At 36.2% G+C, this 15,941-nt stretch overlaps 1 protein-coding gene across 1 annotated transcript in view; it reads right to left on the minus strand.

The window, feature by feature from the left end:
* Positions 1-15,941, minus strand: part of WIF1 (Wnt inhibitory factor 1) — a 70,680-nt gene that overhangs the window by 18,577 nt on the left and 36,162 nt on the right. The window contains exon 3 of the mRNA NM_007191.5: positions 8,544-8,652. Coding sequence (NP_009122.2) covers positions 8,544-8,652 — 109 coding nt within the window. The remainder of the gene's footprint in view (positions 1-8,543; positions 8,653-15,941) is intronic.

Consider the following 15,941-nt stretch of genomic DNA (forward strand, 5'->3'; position numbering starts at 1 on the left):
AAAGATGGAAAGAAGAATCATAAAGTGGTTAATTATGTATACGTCAGTGTAGCATGGGAAGAACAGAAAGACAAACGAAAATAAATAAAAAGCAGTTGATTCGGGGAAGAAACTTTGTGGCATCTTCATCAGCCTCCATATAATCCAAAAAGGGCTAGAAATCAGCATTTCATAATCCCTTAAATAAAGTCTGATGAGCAATACCCCACTGGTTTATGTTTACTATGTGTATGTGAAAGTGACAAAATATCTTCTTTGAAAATATTTTACGACTCAGACTAGAGTTCAGTCATTGGACCGAGTTAATGAAGTTAATATTTTCTCAGGCTGTTTGTTAATAAGAAGTGTCCATATCTCAGGCATCTAGAAGAGAGTTTGATGTGATGAAATAATCTCATGAATAGGGTTATATCTAATGGTTTATGTTCTTAAAGAGAAGCTTCTCTTTCTTGTGAGTCTAATGATTACTCAGCCTGTGCAAGTGTTGACAATGAAGTCACAAAGCAGGGATTGGGAACTGAAGACATTGCTGTACAAAGAGGGAAGGAGGACACCCGTTGTGGGATAACCACAAATCACTGGGTGAAAATGGGGCAAATCAGATGTGATCATTTGCTGAGAAGCTGATTATGTATATTTCCAACACCCAATGGGTTATTATAACATATCCACTGGGTAAGACTGATATAGCAGATCCACCAGACTCTTGTTCTTTCTTGTGAATATAAAGAAATATTGCTAATGGGTATACATGTGATTTTTTGCTTCATTTTATTTCTGCATGGCAAGTTATGGTTTCTGCCAAGCTTGTGCAAACTGTATCAAGCTAAGACAAATCTTTTCCTTTTAGAGTGTCGATAAACTTTCTCCCTAGGTTTATAGGAATAAATGAGCTGGAAACTGGACTGCCCTTTTCTGTAAAGCATTGCACACAAGCTGGTCATACAATTTCTCAATGTGCTTTTGGCAACCCAAAACTCCTCTTACAGCTCTGGCATTGTCAGTGTTCATTGCTATGCCATACTCAAAATTACATGGACTTCCATTTCTAGCTCCCCTGAAACTTGAGATTTTAACATTGCAAATCATTATGATGAAAAGGAAACACAGATATTTTAACAGAAATAAAAAGAAAAAACAAAATTGTGTCTAAAGTTCTAAAGTAAAATTGTCCCTATTGAAAACCTTGGCTTAATGAAATCTCATATATAAAAATGCCAATTTACAAAACATTTATGAATGGAGATTTCTATTTCAGAAAGAAGCAAAGGAATTGACAAGTAATTTCTTTAAATTTTTTGTACTTATACTTTGTTCAATTATAAAACTTTACTCTTCTTATGACTCTTTTACATGGACAGGTAGGCCAATAATTGCTTTGAGGCATAAAAAGATGGAAAAACTTGAACGGATACTTAAAGATAGAACTTTCAGAATCTTCCTCACTGGACGCCATCATCCAAACTTATTTTCCAGGTGTATCTTTTTTCTGAACCACATTCAGCCTCTCCTTTGCAGCCCACCTGATTCTTTTAAAAAGGCCCTTCAGTTTTATTTTGGCTTCCAGAATCTTGGTATGGAAGAGAAGATGCCTATCAGTAAACTCATCTTCATTTCTGCTTGCCAGCATTATCAAATTTCAAAATGTATCTTGGATGTTAAATATCAAAAACTGTCTTATTAAGTTTGTAGGAAATTTAGTTAAGAACAATTATTAGTTCTTCCACATCTTCAGATGTGCTGAAAGACCATTTACAAATCACAGGCTCACTCCTGTAATCCCAGCACTTTGGGAGGCCGAGGCGGGTGCATCACTTGAGATCAGGAGTTGGAGACCAGCCTGGCCAACATGGTGAAACCCGTGTCTACTAAAAGCAAAAAAATTAGCCGGTGTGTTGGCATATATCCATAATCCCAGCTACCTGGGAGGCTGAGGCATGAGAATCACTTGAACTCAGAAGACAGAGGTTGCAGTGAGCCAAGATAGAGCCACTGCAGTCCAGCCTGGGCAACAGAGCAAGACTCCATCAAAAAAAAAAAAAAAAAAAAAAAGGAAAGAAAGAAAAGTGTGTGGTTTGCTAATATAATCTTTAAGTCAATTAAAGTAAGGACATGTTCACAGAGTTCCTAGGCCTGTGGTGATGCTAGAAGATACGGCTTTCCACCATTGCAGGGAACAAAAGCGAGGTTGCAAAATCTAATGAAAGTTTTAAAATAGAAAAACTGTAAGCAATTTTGGCAGATAACTAAAGATGTAGTATCTTCATTTTCTTAGTAAACCAAAAGAAATGATATCCCTAAAAATTATTTTACTAAAGTTATATTCAATTACTGTTATAACTGATATGAAATATTTTCCTTCTTATAGTTTTTAAAGACCTAATATACTCTAGGCTTGCAATTTTTGCTAATTTTATTTGTGCATAATAACTCTAGCCCTTAAATTCAGCTTCAAGTTAAAAATGAACACATTAAAAATCCCATCAGCCCAGGTATATAAGTTTTACCTGCACATTTCTACCTCTTTGGAAATAGAAGGCATGTAAGCACAGTTATGACCTGAACCCTACTGCAGAATGATTTGTAAAGAACTAGGAAATAAAGTTTAGAAATTAGGAGGTACCTAGCTTATAATTTCAATGAATTATTATTTTTTTCACTGAGGACATCTTGAGCCAGATCAACAATTAATTTTTAATGTAAAAGAAGAATTACAGAAAGATGTGATAAACCATACCATTACACTTTCCCACTCTTCAATTTTAAAACACAAAGTAAAAATTTTATTTCCTCTTGTGCAAACCCTACTTGTCTTCGTTTCTGTTTATATAAACTTTATCTATAAGACCATTTAGGTAATAATATTTATAATTAAACACCTTTTAAAAGTTTTCAAAGAATTTTGCTTTAAAAAAACAAAATCTGACTTTAGTTAGCTGCATCTCCAGTAATTGCCTTTTGTCAACTCTGTGCTCTGCGCAAACTATTTCTCTCAGTTCCCCAAATGTGTGGTGCACATCCACAATTTCCTTACTGCACACCCAGGTGCTTGGAATGTTCTTTCTTGTGTTTTCTGTCCTACTGTCCTCCCACTCAACTTTCAAGGCCAAAATTAAATAGTACTTGCTTTCTTTAGCCTTTCCTAACACCCCTTGCCTATATAATTACATTTATATATTTTACAAACACCTATATATATTATTTCATTGTGGTGTAGTGATTTAATTATGGTTTGCATCCTTTGTTAAGGATGAGAATTCTCAAAGGCAAGAACTATATCTTGTTTTTGTAATCTCAGCATTTAGCATATTGTCTGTCACAAACTAGGTACCAACAGATGTGATATATGTTATGGTAGACACAACCATATACCTTGTGTGCACAGGCACACACTTGCACTTCCACACATGCACATACCTGCACATATACACAGAGACAGAAATTCACCATAGACAGTAGGAGATGTAGAGAATAAAATACTAGCAACATGCACTCAGAAAAACAGATGCACCAAGAAAAAGAGACATCAAAGGCAGAAAAAGCAGAGACTCTTTGCTTCCAAGGAATAAGAGGAATGTGAAAGTCATGTATTTTTGCAACAATAGGAATATGAGTAAAGAGCCATTGTTCCCAAACGCTAGATGAAGTTAGGCCAGATATGAATTCCAGTGCAGAATAGGATGTATAATCTAAACGAGGTGAATTAAAACAACTCAGAAAAACTAAAGCAGATCGAATATAACTCACAGCATTGAAGTACAGACTGATATGCAATTGATTGCACATCAACTAACTCTTCTACAGAAGAAAGCAGCAAATTTGTTCTGATTGCATACTGCTCCCACACACAGATGGGCATGGTGCTCAGATAGCCTCAGCCTCCAGTCAGTTGAGTCCCTGTCCTTACAACAAGGCAAGAGATGAGAAAGGCAGGCAAGAGCCCATCCTCCACACCACATGATCATGAACTGCTACATCACTAGAAATATCCAACATAAATATTCATCAGTCCTTTAAGCTGCCCTGCCAGCCATTCATTCTCTTACCAAATACTTAGCACAAACTCTGGGCTTCACATTCTGCTAAGAACTGAGGTCACCTATAAGAAGATGGTCTCTCCAGCATAAGCACCTATTTAACAGTGTAGACATTGGATTCCTAAAAGTCCTAGTTGAGAAACACCACTGCTCTGTTGGTTTCATGGTCAGAAAAAGAGAGTGTTCAAAGAGGCAAAGTCTTGGCTTCATGAAACTGTTTTTTGTTATACAACTCAGTAATTTTATTGAACCACCCTGCAGTTTGTATTTCCTGTTTTTGTTCTCTTCTGATGCCAGAAGGCAGGCACTTCATAACTGTTAAAGATCAAGAGGAGTTTTCTTTCTTCATGCAATATTTAGGCATATAGGAGTCTGTAGGATAAAAGAACAGTTTAGCAGCTTGGGGGTATAAAATAGCCTTGTAGAATAATGAATGCTACCTGGATGCTTAAGAGCAAAGACACACTGATTTGGTTACTTTTTAATAATGCAAGGTACCTTCACTTCTCCTACTGAGGGACTGAGCTAATGAGGCTAATGAGTAGCTGCTCTGCAATGGTGTAAGGTTCCCATAAACTTCTTGCACCTGCATTTCTACAAACAAATTCTACATCTGCTTCAAAAAGACTATGTGTGTGTGGGGTGGGGTGAGGGAGTTGTATATGCAAAGGATGTGTGTGTGTGCGAGTCTGTGTGCACACATGGGCATATGTGTTCATATCACCTGGTTCCCAAAGAAGGCTTGTTGTTTTTAGTTTCAGGTTGACCAAAGTGTCACCCACTTTTTCCTCTACGTTTATTATTTATAAAGAACGTAAATTATTAGAAAATGATGTTCTATCTAAACATGATCTATTAAAATATCCTCACATCATATGTTCAAAATCTTATTTGTCAATTTCCTAAGCAGTAGAATTTCAGTAAGATTTTTATTTTTTATTTTTTTATTTTTTTTATTATACTTTAAGTTTTAGGGTACATGTGCACATTATGCAGGTTAGTTTTTTAACTAGACACAAAAAGTGAAAAAAGCACTTAGGATACAAGCATTAAATTAGAAATTCAAAGACGCAAGATTTACCAGAAGCTGAGCAGGTAAGTATAACTGGTAATTAATTAATGTATTTTTAATGGACTATGATGAGCTTATATTCCTTTATTAATCAGAAAAAAAGAAAAATATAAAATAGAAATTGAGAGGTGTTATGTACTTATTTTATTCTGACTGCTTCCAAAACAAAACAAAACAAAAAGAGCAAAAAATATGATCAAGGAGAATTTTATAGAAAATTATCTTTAGCCAGGTGCTGGCTCATGCCTGTAATCCCAACACTTTGGGAGGCCGAGGCAGGCAGATCACTTGAGGTCAGGAGTTCGAGACCTGCCTGGCCAACATGGTGAAACTGCATGTCTACTAAAAATACAAAAATCAGCCAGGCATGGTGGCATGCTCCTATAATCCCAGCTACTCAGGAGGCTGAGGTGAAGAATCACTTTAACTCAGGAGGTGGAGGTTGCGGTGAGTTGAGACCCGCACCACTGCACTCAAGCCTGGGTAACAGAGGGACACTCTGTCTCAAAAAAAAAAAAAAAAAAAAAGAAAAGAAAAAGAAAATTATTTTCAACTAAAAAGAACACTATGTGACAGGGCATGAGATTGAGTGATGACCATATTCCAAGAATTTGGTGGCTGGAGTGTCTTTCTCTTCTCCACAAGGTAATAAAGCCCTACCAATGCCATCTGAGTGGAATCAGCGTATCCACATCTCTAGAATAGATACTCACGTCCTTGGGGCTACACATCTCAGGTGAATAAATCTTCACCCAGAACCCAAACACGTCTAAGTCAGAAACAGATCCTCTAGGGGTGCTGTTGGTTACACCTGCAGCACTGTGATGATCAAAGAGAAACTGAACTTATACTTCTCCTGTCTACACCCACGATGACACTTAGGTCGGGAAATTAGAGAAACTCTGTGTTTATTTAGTCTCCCACTCTTATGGCACTGGAATGCAACAAGGCAGATCCACTGGAAGTGGTAGATAACCGTAATCTGAAAATGCCCTTTGTAAAAGTATCTGATCTCCTGATTACTTTAGAGACTTAAATTAGCTCCGAAGGGGATTTTTACTTGACATCTGACAAAATTTATTTTCACGTTCCTCTAGAAGAATAAGACTAAATTTTTTTTAAAAAGAGAGAGTATGCCATCGATGACTTTAAAACACTATAAAGCTACCACTATCACAATAGTAAAATAAAGAGTAATCTCTAAACACACCCTATGTATAGAAAAACTTAATGTGAAATAAATAGCATATCTTGAATCAATTCAACTTCTCATGTAAGAAAAGTTAATGACTCAAAAATAATTCAGGTTAGAGCCTTATTTCATAATATTCCAAAAATAAATTTTTATAAAATGCTAGATGCATATGAAAGTTATAACTTAACTGCTCTCTGGAATAGGAATTAGTATCAAAACATAAATGCAGTGGAAAAAATTGCAAAGGAAAAGATAGGTTTGACCACATAGGATTTTAAAGCCTCTGCATATTCTCCCCCAAAATAAAGTATAAATGTTAAATTGAAAAAAATGCAATAAGTGGTGAATATACCTAATATACAACAAGCTTTGCAGATCAGTAGGAAGAACACTATTATCTCAATATAAAAATGAGCATGGTACACATTTTTCATGGTCTAATAGATACAAGAAAATATTTTCTACCTTAATAGGAATAAAAAATACCAAAAGAAGACTGTGACAAATGACTTTTTACTTTTTCTTTCTTTTATCTTTTTTGAGACTGACTTTTTTCTTTTTTGCTCTGTTGCCCTGGCTGGAGTGCAGTGGTGCAATCATAGCTCACTGCAGCCTCCACCTCCCCAGCTCAAACAACCCTCCTGCCTCAGCCTCCTGAGCATCTGGGACTATGGGTATGTGCCATCACACCTGGCTAATTTTTTTAATTTTTTGTAGAGACAGTCTCGCTATGTTGCCCAGGCCGGTCTTGAACTCCTGGGCACAAGGAATCCTCCCCCCTCGGCCCCCCAAAATGTAGAGATTATAGGTATGAGTCACCACACCTGGCCTGACTTTTCACTATTTAAGCCACTAAAGTAGTTAATGTGATTAATAACCTATGTTGATGGGATTACAGTAAGCCAAGCATTCTCCCTATTGCTTAACCAGGGTAAAAATGGGTATGATAACCTTTACAGAAAGTAATTTGGCATTTTGGCAATTTGTTTTAAGAGTCTTTAAGAAGCTCATAGTTCCTATCATTTGACACAATAATTCAACTTTTAGGAATCGATTTTAACAAAATAATGAGATAAGCACCAAGATTTTGGTACGCACATTAATCCAACAATTACTTTCTGAATACCTGTTCTGTGCTGGGCCCTGGGGTGGAGCCACAGTGAACAAAAAAATAGGGCTCCTATGTGCATGGAAGTTACCATCCATTAGTTTAAAAAAATATTGTGATATTGCTATAGTCAAACTCTAAAAACAACATAATTAACAAATAAGGGAATGTGTATACAAATTATGGTATATCCATAAAATAGAATATTGTAAGAGCATTAAAAACAACTTTTGAAAAAATCCATAATGACATAGGAAATGGTTATGTTAAAAGGTTAAAAGCAAAAAAAAAAAATCATGACGCAAAACCAAATATATATTATCACAAATATGTAAAAATTCAGAGAAAAAAGATGAGAAGGAAATACATTAGGATGATAACACAAGTGATCTCTGTATATTTCTAAAAGTCAGAAATCCCGGGCTCTAGTCTCAACTCTACTGCTTATTACTATCCTAATATTTGACTTTGGGCAAGTCAGTCAAATCTCCTAAGTCTTAATTTTTTAATTTAGAAAATGAGCTGCAATTCTGGATTTGACTCGCTACTAGTATTCAAATTAGATAACGCAAGAGTGAGTCTGTTGTAAGCTGAAAAGCTTTAAACAAATATCACATACTATTATTTTCTTAGCAAAGAAGGATGATTAGACTAGAAACGTTGAACCCCTTTCTCCCACTTTTCCATGTCTCTTCTCTCCTTCAAATTCTAATTTAATACAATGCTAACTTTTGGGGAATTTTCTTGACTTATCCCATTTGCCCCCAATCACTTACTTTGTATCTTTGCCACATTTTTGTGTATCTCATTAATCCATACATTGGCCAAATATATCTCACCAGATGTGTTTCTTTCTCCTTTTTTTTCTTTAAAAAAGTCTGGAATCATTTATGAACTTAGTGTGGGCTGGGCTGGGGCTATTCTGAATCTTTAGAAAATTATATAACCATCATTTCTTCACTCCCATCTTAATCCTTTGCCCAAAGAATAACAGTCAAACTGTCCTAAAATCAACAGATGTCTTCAGGAAAACATTTCATAACCTCTCTGATGTAGGACATTTGCATCTTAAATATTCTTATCATCATTACATTTTAAGTGTAAACCTTTCTTCAGGCAAAGACCACCCACCTGATGCCTTGTGAGGCACTGTTCCCAGCAGAGGGACATTGACGGTTGGATCTGCCATGATGCCTTTATCCAGGGAGCGCAAGGACAGGAATTCATAGAAGTATTCTGCCTACAACCAAAGGCACTGACAGTTAGTAACATGGAAACCAGAGAGGGAGAAGGCACCACAGAATTCATCGTCCATCTGATGGGGCAGAGATAATTTTCATTACAGGAACTCTGGAGCACACAGCATCCAAGATACTGGGTAGGCACAACTCACCCTTCTGTGTTAGACTCTGGAGAGAAGTGATCCCTAAAAACATTAAAAACAGCCACAATAGTTAATCTGTTTTTGTTTGTTTGTTTTTTGAGACAGAGTCTTGCTCTGTTGCCCAGGCTGGAGTGCAGTGGCGCAATCTCAGCTCACTGCAACCTCTGCCTCCCAGGTTCAAGCAATTCTCCTGCCTCAGCCTCCTGAGTAGCTGGGATTACAGGCATGTACCACCACGCCCTGCTAATTTTTGTATTTTTAGTAGAGACAGGGTTTCACCATGTTGCCGGGGTCTGTCTCGAACTTCTGACCTCAAGTCATCTGCCTGCCTTGGCCTCCCAAAGTGCTGGGATTACAGGCTTTAGCTACTATGCCTGCCCAGTAATTTTTTAACTTAAATGATATTAATTGCTGTCTTTTTAAAAGATTGAGAAAAAAAATTCTCTTAGGGAAATAGGTGATGTCAAACCAGTCATTGACTAGAATCCATCTCAGCTATTTTAATCATTCTTTAATACTCCTAATTCTAAATTCTGAAGTGAGTCTTTTGATCAGAATTTGGAGAGTTGTAATGAAGTCCCAAATTCCATGATCTTGCTGTTAACATTTATTTTTTACTCTCATTCCCTTTGAAAGGTTTATATTTAATGTCTCGATTTAATTGTGGAGAGAAAAGCCAAAAGATGCAAAAACCACCATCACAATAAGACAACAAGCCATAAACCTTTACATTGTGAACACTTTCATTTACCCACTAAGTCTAGTTGAGAAAATGATTCCTGCTACTCAAATGGCCATGAATACTGAAAGTAATGATGCATAATCTCACTATAGAGCTTTAATGCTTAATGGATTCCCACTGGATTATTAAAAGGGTTTGTGAAGGCCAGGCACGGTGGCTCACACCTGTAATCCCAGCACTTTGGGAGGCTGAGGTGGGCGGATCACTTGAGGTTAGGAGTTCGAGACCAGTCTGGCCAACATGGCGAAACCCCGTCTCTACTAAAAATACAAAACTTAGCTGGGCATGGTCGTGGGTGCTTGTAGTCCCAGCTACTTGGGAGGCTGAGGCAGGAGAATTGCTTGAACCCAGGAGGTGGAGGCTGCAGTGAGCCAAGATAGCACCATTGCACTCCAGCCTGGGCAACAGAGCAAGACTCCATCTCAAAAAAAAAAAAAAAAAAAAGTGAAAGAGAGGCATTACTAGAGATGCTATAGACATTTAAGCAAGAAAAGGGATCAATGTTACACCAATAAATTCAATGACTTTGATAAAATGAACTCCTTGAGAAACACAAATGAACAAATCTGACAAGAAATAGAAAGTTTGAATAGCCTTATGTCTGTTAAGGAAATTATATTCAAAATTGTAAAACCCTCCCACAAAAAAAATTCCAGGGTCAAATGGCTTCCCTGGTGAATTCTCACAAACATTAAGGAAGAAATAATGCCAACATTACAGAAATTTATAAGCATTGGAGATTGTTATTATTATCATCAATATTGTTTTCATAAGTCTCCTCCCTCAGTTATCAGCTTCCAGCTTGAACCTGGGAGGCAGAGGTTGTCATGAGCTGAGAACATGCCACTGCACTCCAGACTGGGTGACAGAGTGAGACTCTGTCTCAAAAAAAAAAAAAAAAAGCGGAAGGAGAGTTGTGATGGTAACAATATGTTCTTGCTTAGAAATAAAGAACAATCAATAAATAGCACCAATGCTAACATGAGAGTTAGGCAAGTTGAGTGGTTCTGCAGTTACCTGTAGAGACATCCAGAATTACATTAATTTAATGTAATGAATTAAATTAATTAATTAACTTTTTGCATTCTATCCATTCAGTTCCACACCCAGAACTACATTAATTCAATGTAATTAATTATATTAATTTTTGCATTCTATCTATTAATTAAAGAAATTACATTAACATGGGCTAGAAGGAGGTTGCAAAAGAATATGACCCTACAAGCAATATAAAATTTATTTTACAACATGAAAGATATTAAGAGATACATGGTAGACATTCAAACAATTTGCTGCTTTAAATCACAGTATCACATGCAGCAGGCATTAAGGACTTCACATGAGGATAATAATGCCAAGGGGTAGTCTCAGATGCTGTGGGAACTTGTCCATACTTGAAGTTAATTGAGAAACACTTCCTGGTTTCACTAAGCCAAAAGGATAACCTTCATGGACCAAATTCCCACTGCATCCCCTCCTGTGAGTTGTGGTCAAGTTTCCAAAAGACCACTGTGAACAGTTCCCTAGGTGGGTAACAACATTGTTTAAGTTAATTTATAAAATTGATTCACTAGGATGGCCCTGAGAATAAAGGGTCATAAGGCAGGTAATTCTTACCCTGTTTAAGGGAAGGCAGAGGTTTATAAGAAGTCTGATGAAAGGAGTGTTGTCAGGAAAGGTAATTCAATTTGGAATGAATTCCTTTGAAAGAGAGAACAGTATTTCTGTCCCTGCAGGAAAACCAATGACTATTAAAAGTGGATTTGTTTTCATGAATCCAGGTGTTTTAAATGACTTCTACCACCTGCACTTCCCTCTACATTTTACTAGATAATATGTATCATTTAACATACTGTTCTAAAACGTATTTTATTTGGCACTATGAAAGGATTTAGTGATAGATGCCCTTATAATGAATAACATTTGAATTATTTCTATTACTAAGTACAGTAACAACAATCACACAATAAACTTGGGTGTAATGCACACCATGTGCCAAAACATTCTAAAGACTTAACAGTACATATAATGATGGAAAAGAAATGAATGGATAGAATGCAAAAAACTTTGAAATTAAAAGGTCAAATACCATATAAGTTATCATTTGCTACCCCATAATTATATCTTTGAGCTTTGTCACATTATAAATTAAATATACCTTTCTATGTGTGATATATTTAAAAATTACATTTGTAAAACTACAATAATTTTAACAAATATAATTTAATTTAAAAAATAAACTTTTAGTTAATAAGAAAAACTAGACACCAAGATTAAAACAATGATTGTGTAGAATTGATGGTGATTTTTTTTCTTTTCTCTCTTTTTCAGATTTTCTATATGTGAATTTATATCTTTTCATGAAATAAGTGCATTTATGTATTTTTTTTAAAAAGCATTAATCATGTACCCTCCTTTCAGTTCCGTGGCTGATGATTCTTTTTCCATAATTCTCTGATCATAGATAAAATATTCTTCTTGAACATCTATTTAACGTGGCTGTGTTTAAACAACAATTTTATTTAAATCTCTTCCATGTCTCCTTGAAAGTGCAGCAATTTGCATAAAATAGCTTCTGAACGCCTCTTCCAAAAAGTTTTGATGATGTTCAAAGAATATGGAACTGAAAAAATTCCATTCGGAGGCCAGAAACATAACTTCACAGAGCCTTCAGGTATGACCACAGAAGGTAGACTGAGAAGCATGGAATCTGTTATACTTAGCATCAGAGAGTTGATAATGAGCAGTGGCACGACTGCTTCACATGATGCAGCTAGGCTTAATAGATTTCTCTGGACACCCAATACTCTGATCTAATCAATAACACACTTTACACAAAAGTGTCCCTTTTATTTCTTTGAGAATCAGTAAACATTTGTCTTATTCTAATAAGACTGTTCATAAGGCAGGAACTGGTTTCTTTCTTGGATCTTATCAGCAAAAGGCAGTTACCAGAGTAAATCGTTTTCTTTCTTGCTGAAGATGATAACTAATGGTGCATGAATCTCTGAAACATGTAATTTCCTGGATACTTGGTACATTTCTTTAAAAAAGATTTTGTCTGTGGTTTTCATTGCCTCTTTAAAAATTCTAACTTCACACTGGGAAGTTTTAAGATAAAAAAAAAAGAAAAGAAAAAAGAAAAATTTTAACTTGAAAACCATTTAGAAATTGACTAACCTTTTATCTCTGATGTTGACACTAACTTCTTTCAAAGTTTTACTTTGCCATTGTAAAGAAATCTAAAACCATCAATACTGTGAAAATATTTCCACAAATATAGTATTATGAACTACAGAGTAAATATATCCTTCATTTAACCTAAGGGCTTAAATTAAAAGCCACAAGAAATGGCTGATGAACAATATATTTACGCCATACTCTAACTTCTAGACAGGACTTTCTGTTTTTACTTTATTTATAATAAATATTCTTAGACCCAAATCTCCCCATTGGAAAAACTTATTTGAGAGCAAATAAAATCTAAATTCTATGCCAAAGAGAACAGAGAACTAGCTTTAAAGTTTGGGAACAATTTCCACAAATTGTAGATTTATTATTTAGATAAAAGGAACTCAGAGCATGAACAGTAATAGAGAAATGGTATACTGGAGAGTCTAAAACCTCTATTAGGAAAAAGTACATTTTGTTCCATTAAATGACACTAGAGGAAACTCAGGTAAAGGCAAACAGAGTAATTATTTGGGAAACACATGAAAAGGTTGCTTTGTATTCAAACAAAGAATGGGTCTATTCAGGAGAATAATTCACTGGCATGGTTTGCCATGCAGTAAATTTTCTTTTCATGGAGAAGCATAAAAGACACCCAAATATTATCAAGAGAGGAGTGCTGGAGGTCATTTAACTTGCTTCCAATGGACTTGGCTGAATATTAGGATTGTTCCTTCCAGATGAGATGAAGACATCATTTAAACAGCAAAATGGGACAACTCATAAGGCCTTTGTTCTGGCACTCCTTTTAGGGTAGACATAGAGAAAGGAAGCAGAGAATTGCATTAACCCCTTATTGAGAGGAATGAAGAGAATCCAGTATTTCTCTTCTACCTTTGAAGTTCTGTGTTTATGGTGTGTACTTAATCTAATAAGCACAATAATTGTAGGAGCCTCTGAGTTAAGAATCAAAGATCTTTCAGAAAACCAAGGACTTCAAACCTCTTTTAACCCATATATCATGATGCTGACCTAAGTGCTCATGGAAGAACATTAAAACAATAAAGTTATCATCTTTGTTCTAAAGAAGGTTTCAGGCATTTATAGATACAAAACACACAAAAGCTGTAAGGTTTGAAAATTTTCAAATAATTTTTGTTGAATGTTTATTATACTGCAGTTACTGTTTATTTAATTCTCACAACAGCCTATTATTGTTACAGCATACAAGTGAATTCAGATTCGCAGATTCACTGTGAATTCAGATTAGCAGATTCACTGGGTATGAGAGGTACTAAAGAGATGTAAAATAGATCGTACGCTGTAAGTGAAGGGCCAGAAAAAATCTAAAATAAGCAAGAAAGGAAAATAGTTCAATGTTAAAGACCCAAACAAAACGAATAAGCATGCCCAATGATTAAAATAATCTGAATATCTAGAGCAAAAATTGCCAGATCTCACATTCTTCCTCAGAATTCTTCTTGTTACCTCTGCAAAATTTCATCCTTCAAACTCAAAGCTCATTATCTTTGGACTCTGTGACACTCTTCTGATTCTCATATCACTTCTTGATTTTCCTGCATTTCCTCATTAACTCTCAGCTCATAATCATATAAAATCACTAAGACTCTTTTTATATTGTCATGAAGCTCAGGTATTTTCACAGATTGAACCATTTCCCTGTAGACAGCAATGCTCAACATGAACCATTCACATCCTTCTTCCAAAGCACAGACTCTTCTTGCCATCTGCGTCATGCCCATGCTCATGTGCATGGAGCCTGGTTCATTATCTTCCAAAATCAGCTTCCCCCACTTGATTTCTCTTTTCTTTTCTTTCCTTTCCTTTCCTCTTTTCCTTTTCCCTTTCCCTTTCCTTTCCTTTCCTTTCCTTTCCTTTCCTTTCCTCTCCTCTTTTCTCTTTTCTTTTCTTTTCTTTTCTTTTCTTTTATTTGCACCTCACTCTTGCCCAGGCTGGGATGCAGTAGCACGATCATGGCTCACTGTAGCCTCAACCTCCTGGGCTCAAGCCATCCTCCCATCTCACCCCTCCAAGTAGCTGGAATTACAGGCATGAGCCACTGTGCCTAGCCACACTTAATTTCTTTTTAGCTGCCAATGGTCTTGTTATTGTTTCAATTAACAAAGATACTGAAGCTCAGGGTTATTGCTGTTTCTTACCTCTATCTCATGTCCCCACAGAAAGACACCAAAATCTTATCCTTTCTTCTTTTATATCTTATGATTCTGTACCTTCCTTTCATCCTCACCACTTCCACCTGAATCCAGCATTTATTTCCTCATATTGGCATTTTTATAACATTCTTTGAAATATTCTTTTTGCCCTTCTCTTTAAAAGTGGCCAATACATCAAATGAAACCACCACTTTTGCCATGTTACAATCCTTTCCTGTCCCTGCTTATGGATGGGATAAGGCCTTCGGCCTGTTAGGTGTCTCCACAGCCTGGTTCCTTTATCTTTTTATCTCTCACTACTCCCCAACAGGCATCATCTTCTGGAGCTCACTGGCCCGAGGTGATACCATAGCCATGCCTATATTCCAGTGATTTAACCTCTACTGACCTTCAATAGGACTTAAACCAGCTTGGCCCTTAAACATCTACCACTATGTATTATTATTTAACTTTTCATATGTTTATATCTTGTATTCTCATCTAAATGTTGGATTCCTGTGGCTAAGAATGGGACTACATATTTTTTCCAATGGTCTACTGGAGACTCACTCAGCATTGTGCACAGCAAGGCATTTGAAAAATATCTGCTGAATAAGTGAATGAATGACCTACTGAGAGGCATCCAGAAGTGTAAACCCGGTGCGTTCCAGAACACATTGTTGTGGTAAAATGGCATTAGCCTCTGATTCTAGTGACAGGCAGCAGCTTTTCTGTTTGGCAATTGCTAAGTTACTTTTATGGGCCAAAAACTTCTCTCTTACTCTTCTGTGTGGTCAGTCATTGCAGCCCACAATTGAGAATACAGAGCACTTTTGAAAAAAAGAACAATCAAACACTGACATTTGTTATCTACCCGATCTGTGTGTAGTTTATAACTGTTTTATGCTTGTTCTGGCACAAACCTTTGGCAATGAGGCTCCCAGAAAGAATGAAAGGAGATAATGTAAATGAGGTCCTGTTCTGACACAAGACTTTGCCCAAGGCTCTTCTGGTTTATATTTCCCTCTTGGGTTCCAGTCACTTTGCCTTCTATAAAT

This window comes from Homo sapiens, chromosome 12 (assembly GCF_000001405.40).
Source record: "Homo sapiens chromosome 12, GRCh38.p14 Primary Assembly".
Classification (NCBI taxonomy): Eukaryota; Metazoa; Chordata; class Mammalia; order Primates; family Hominidae; genus Homo; species Homo sapiens.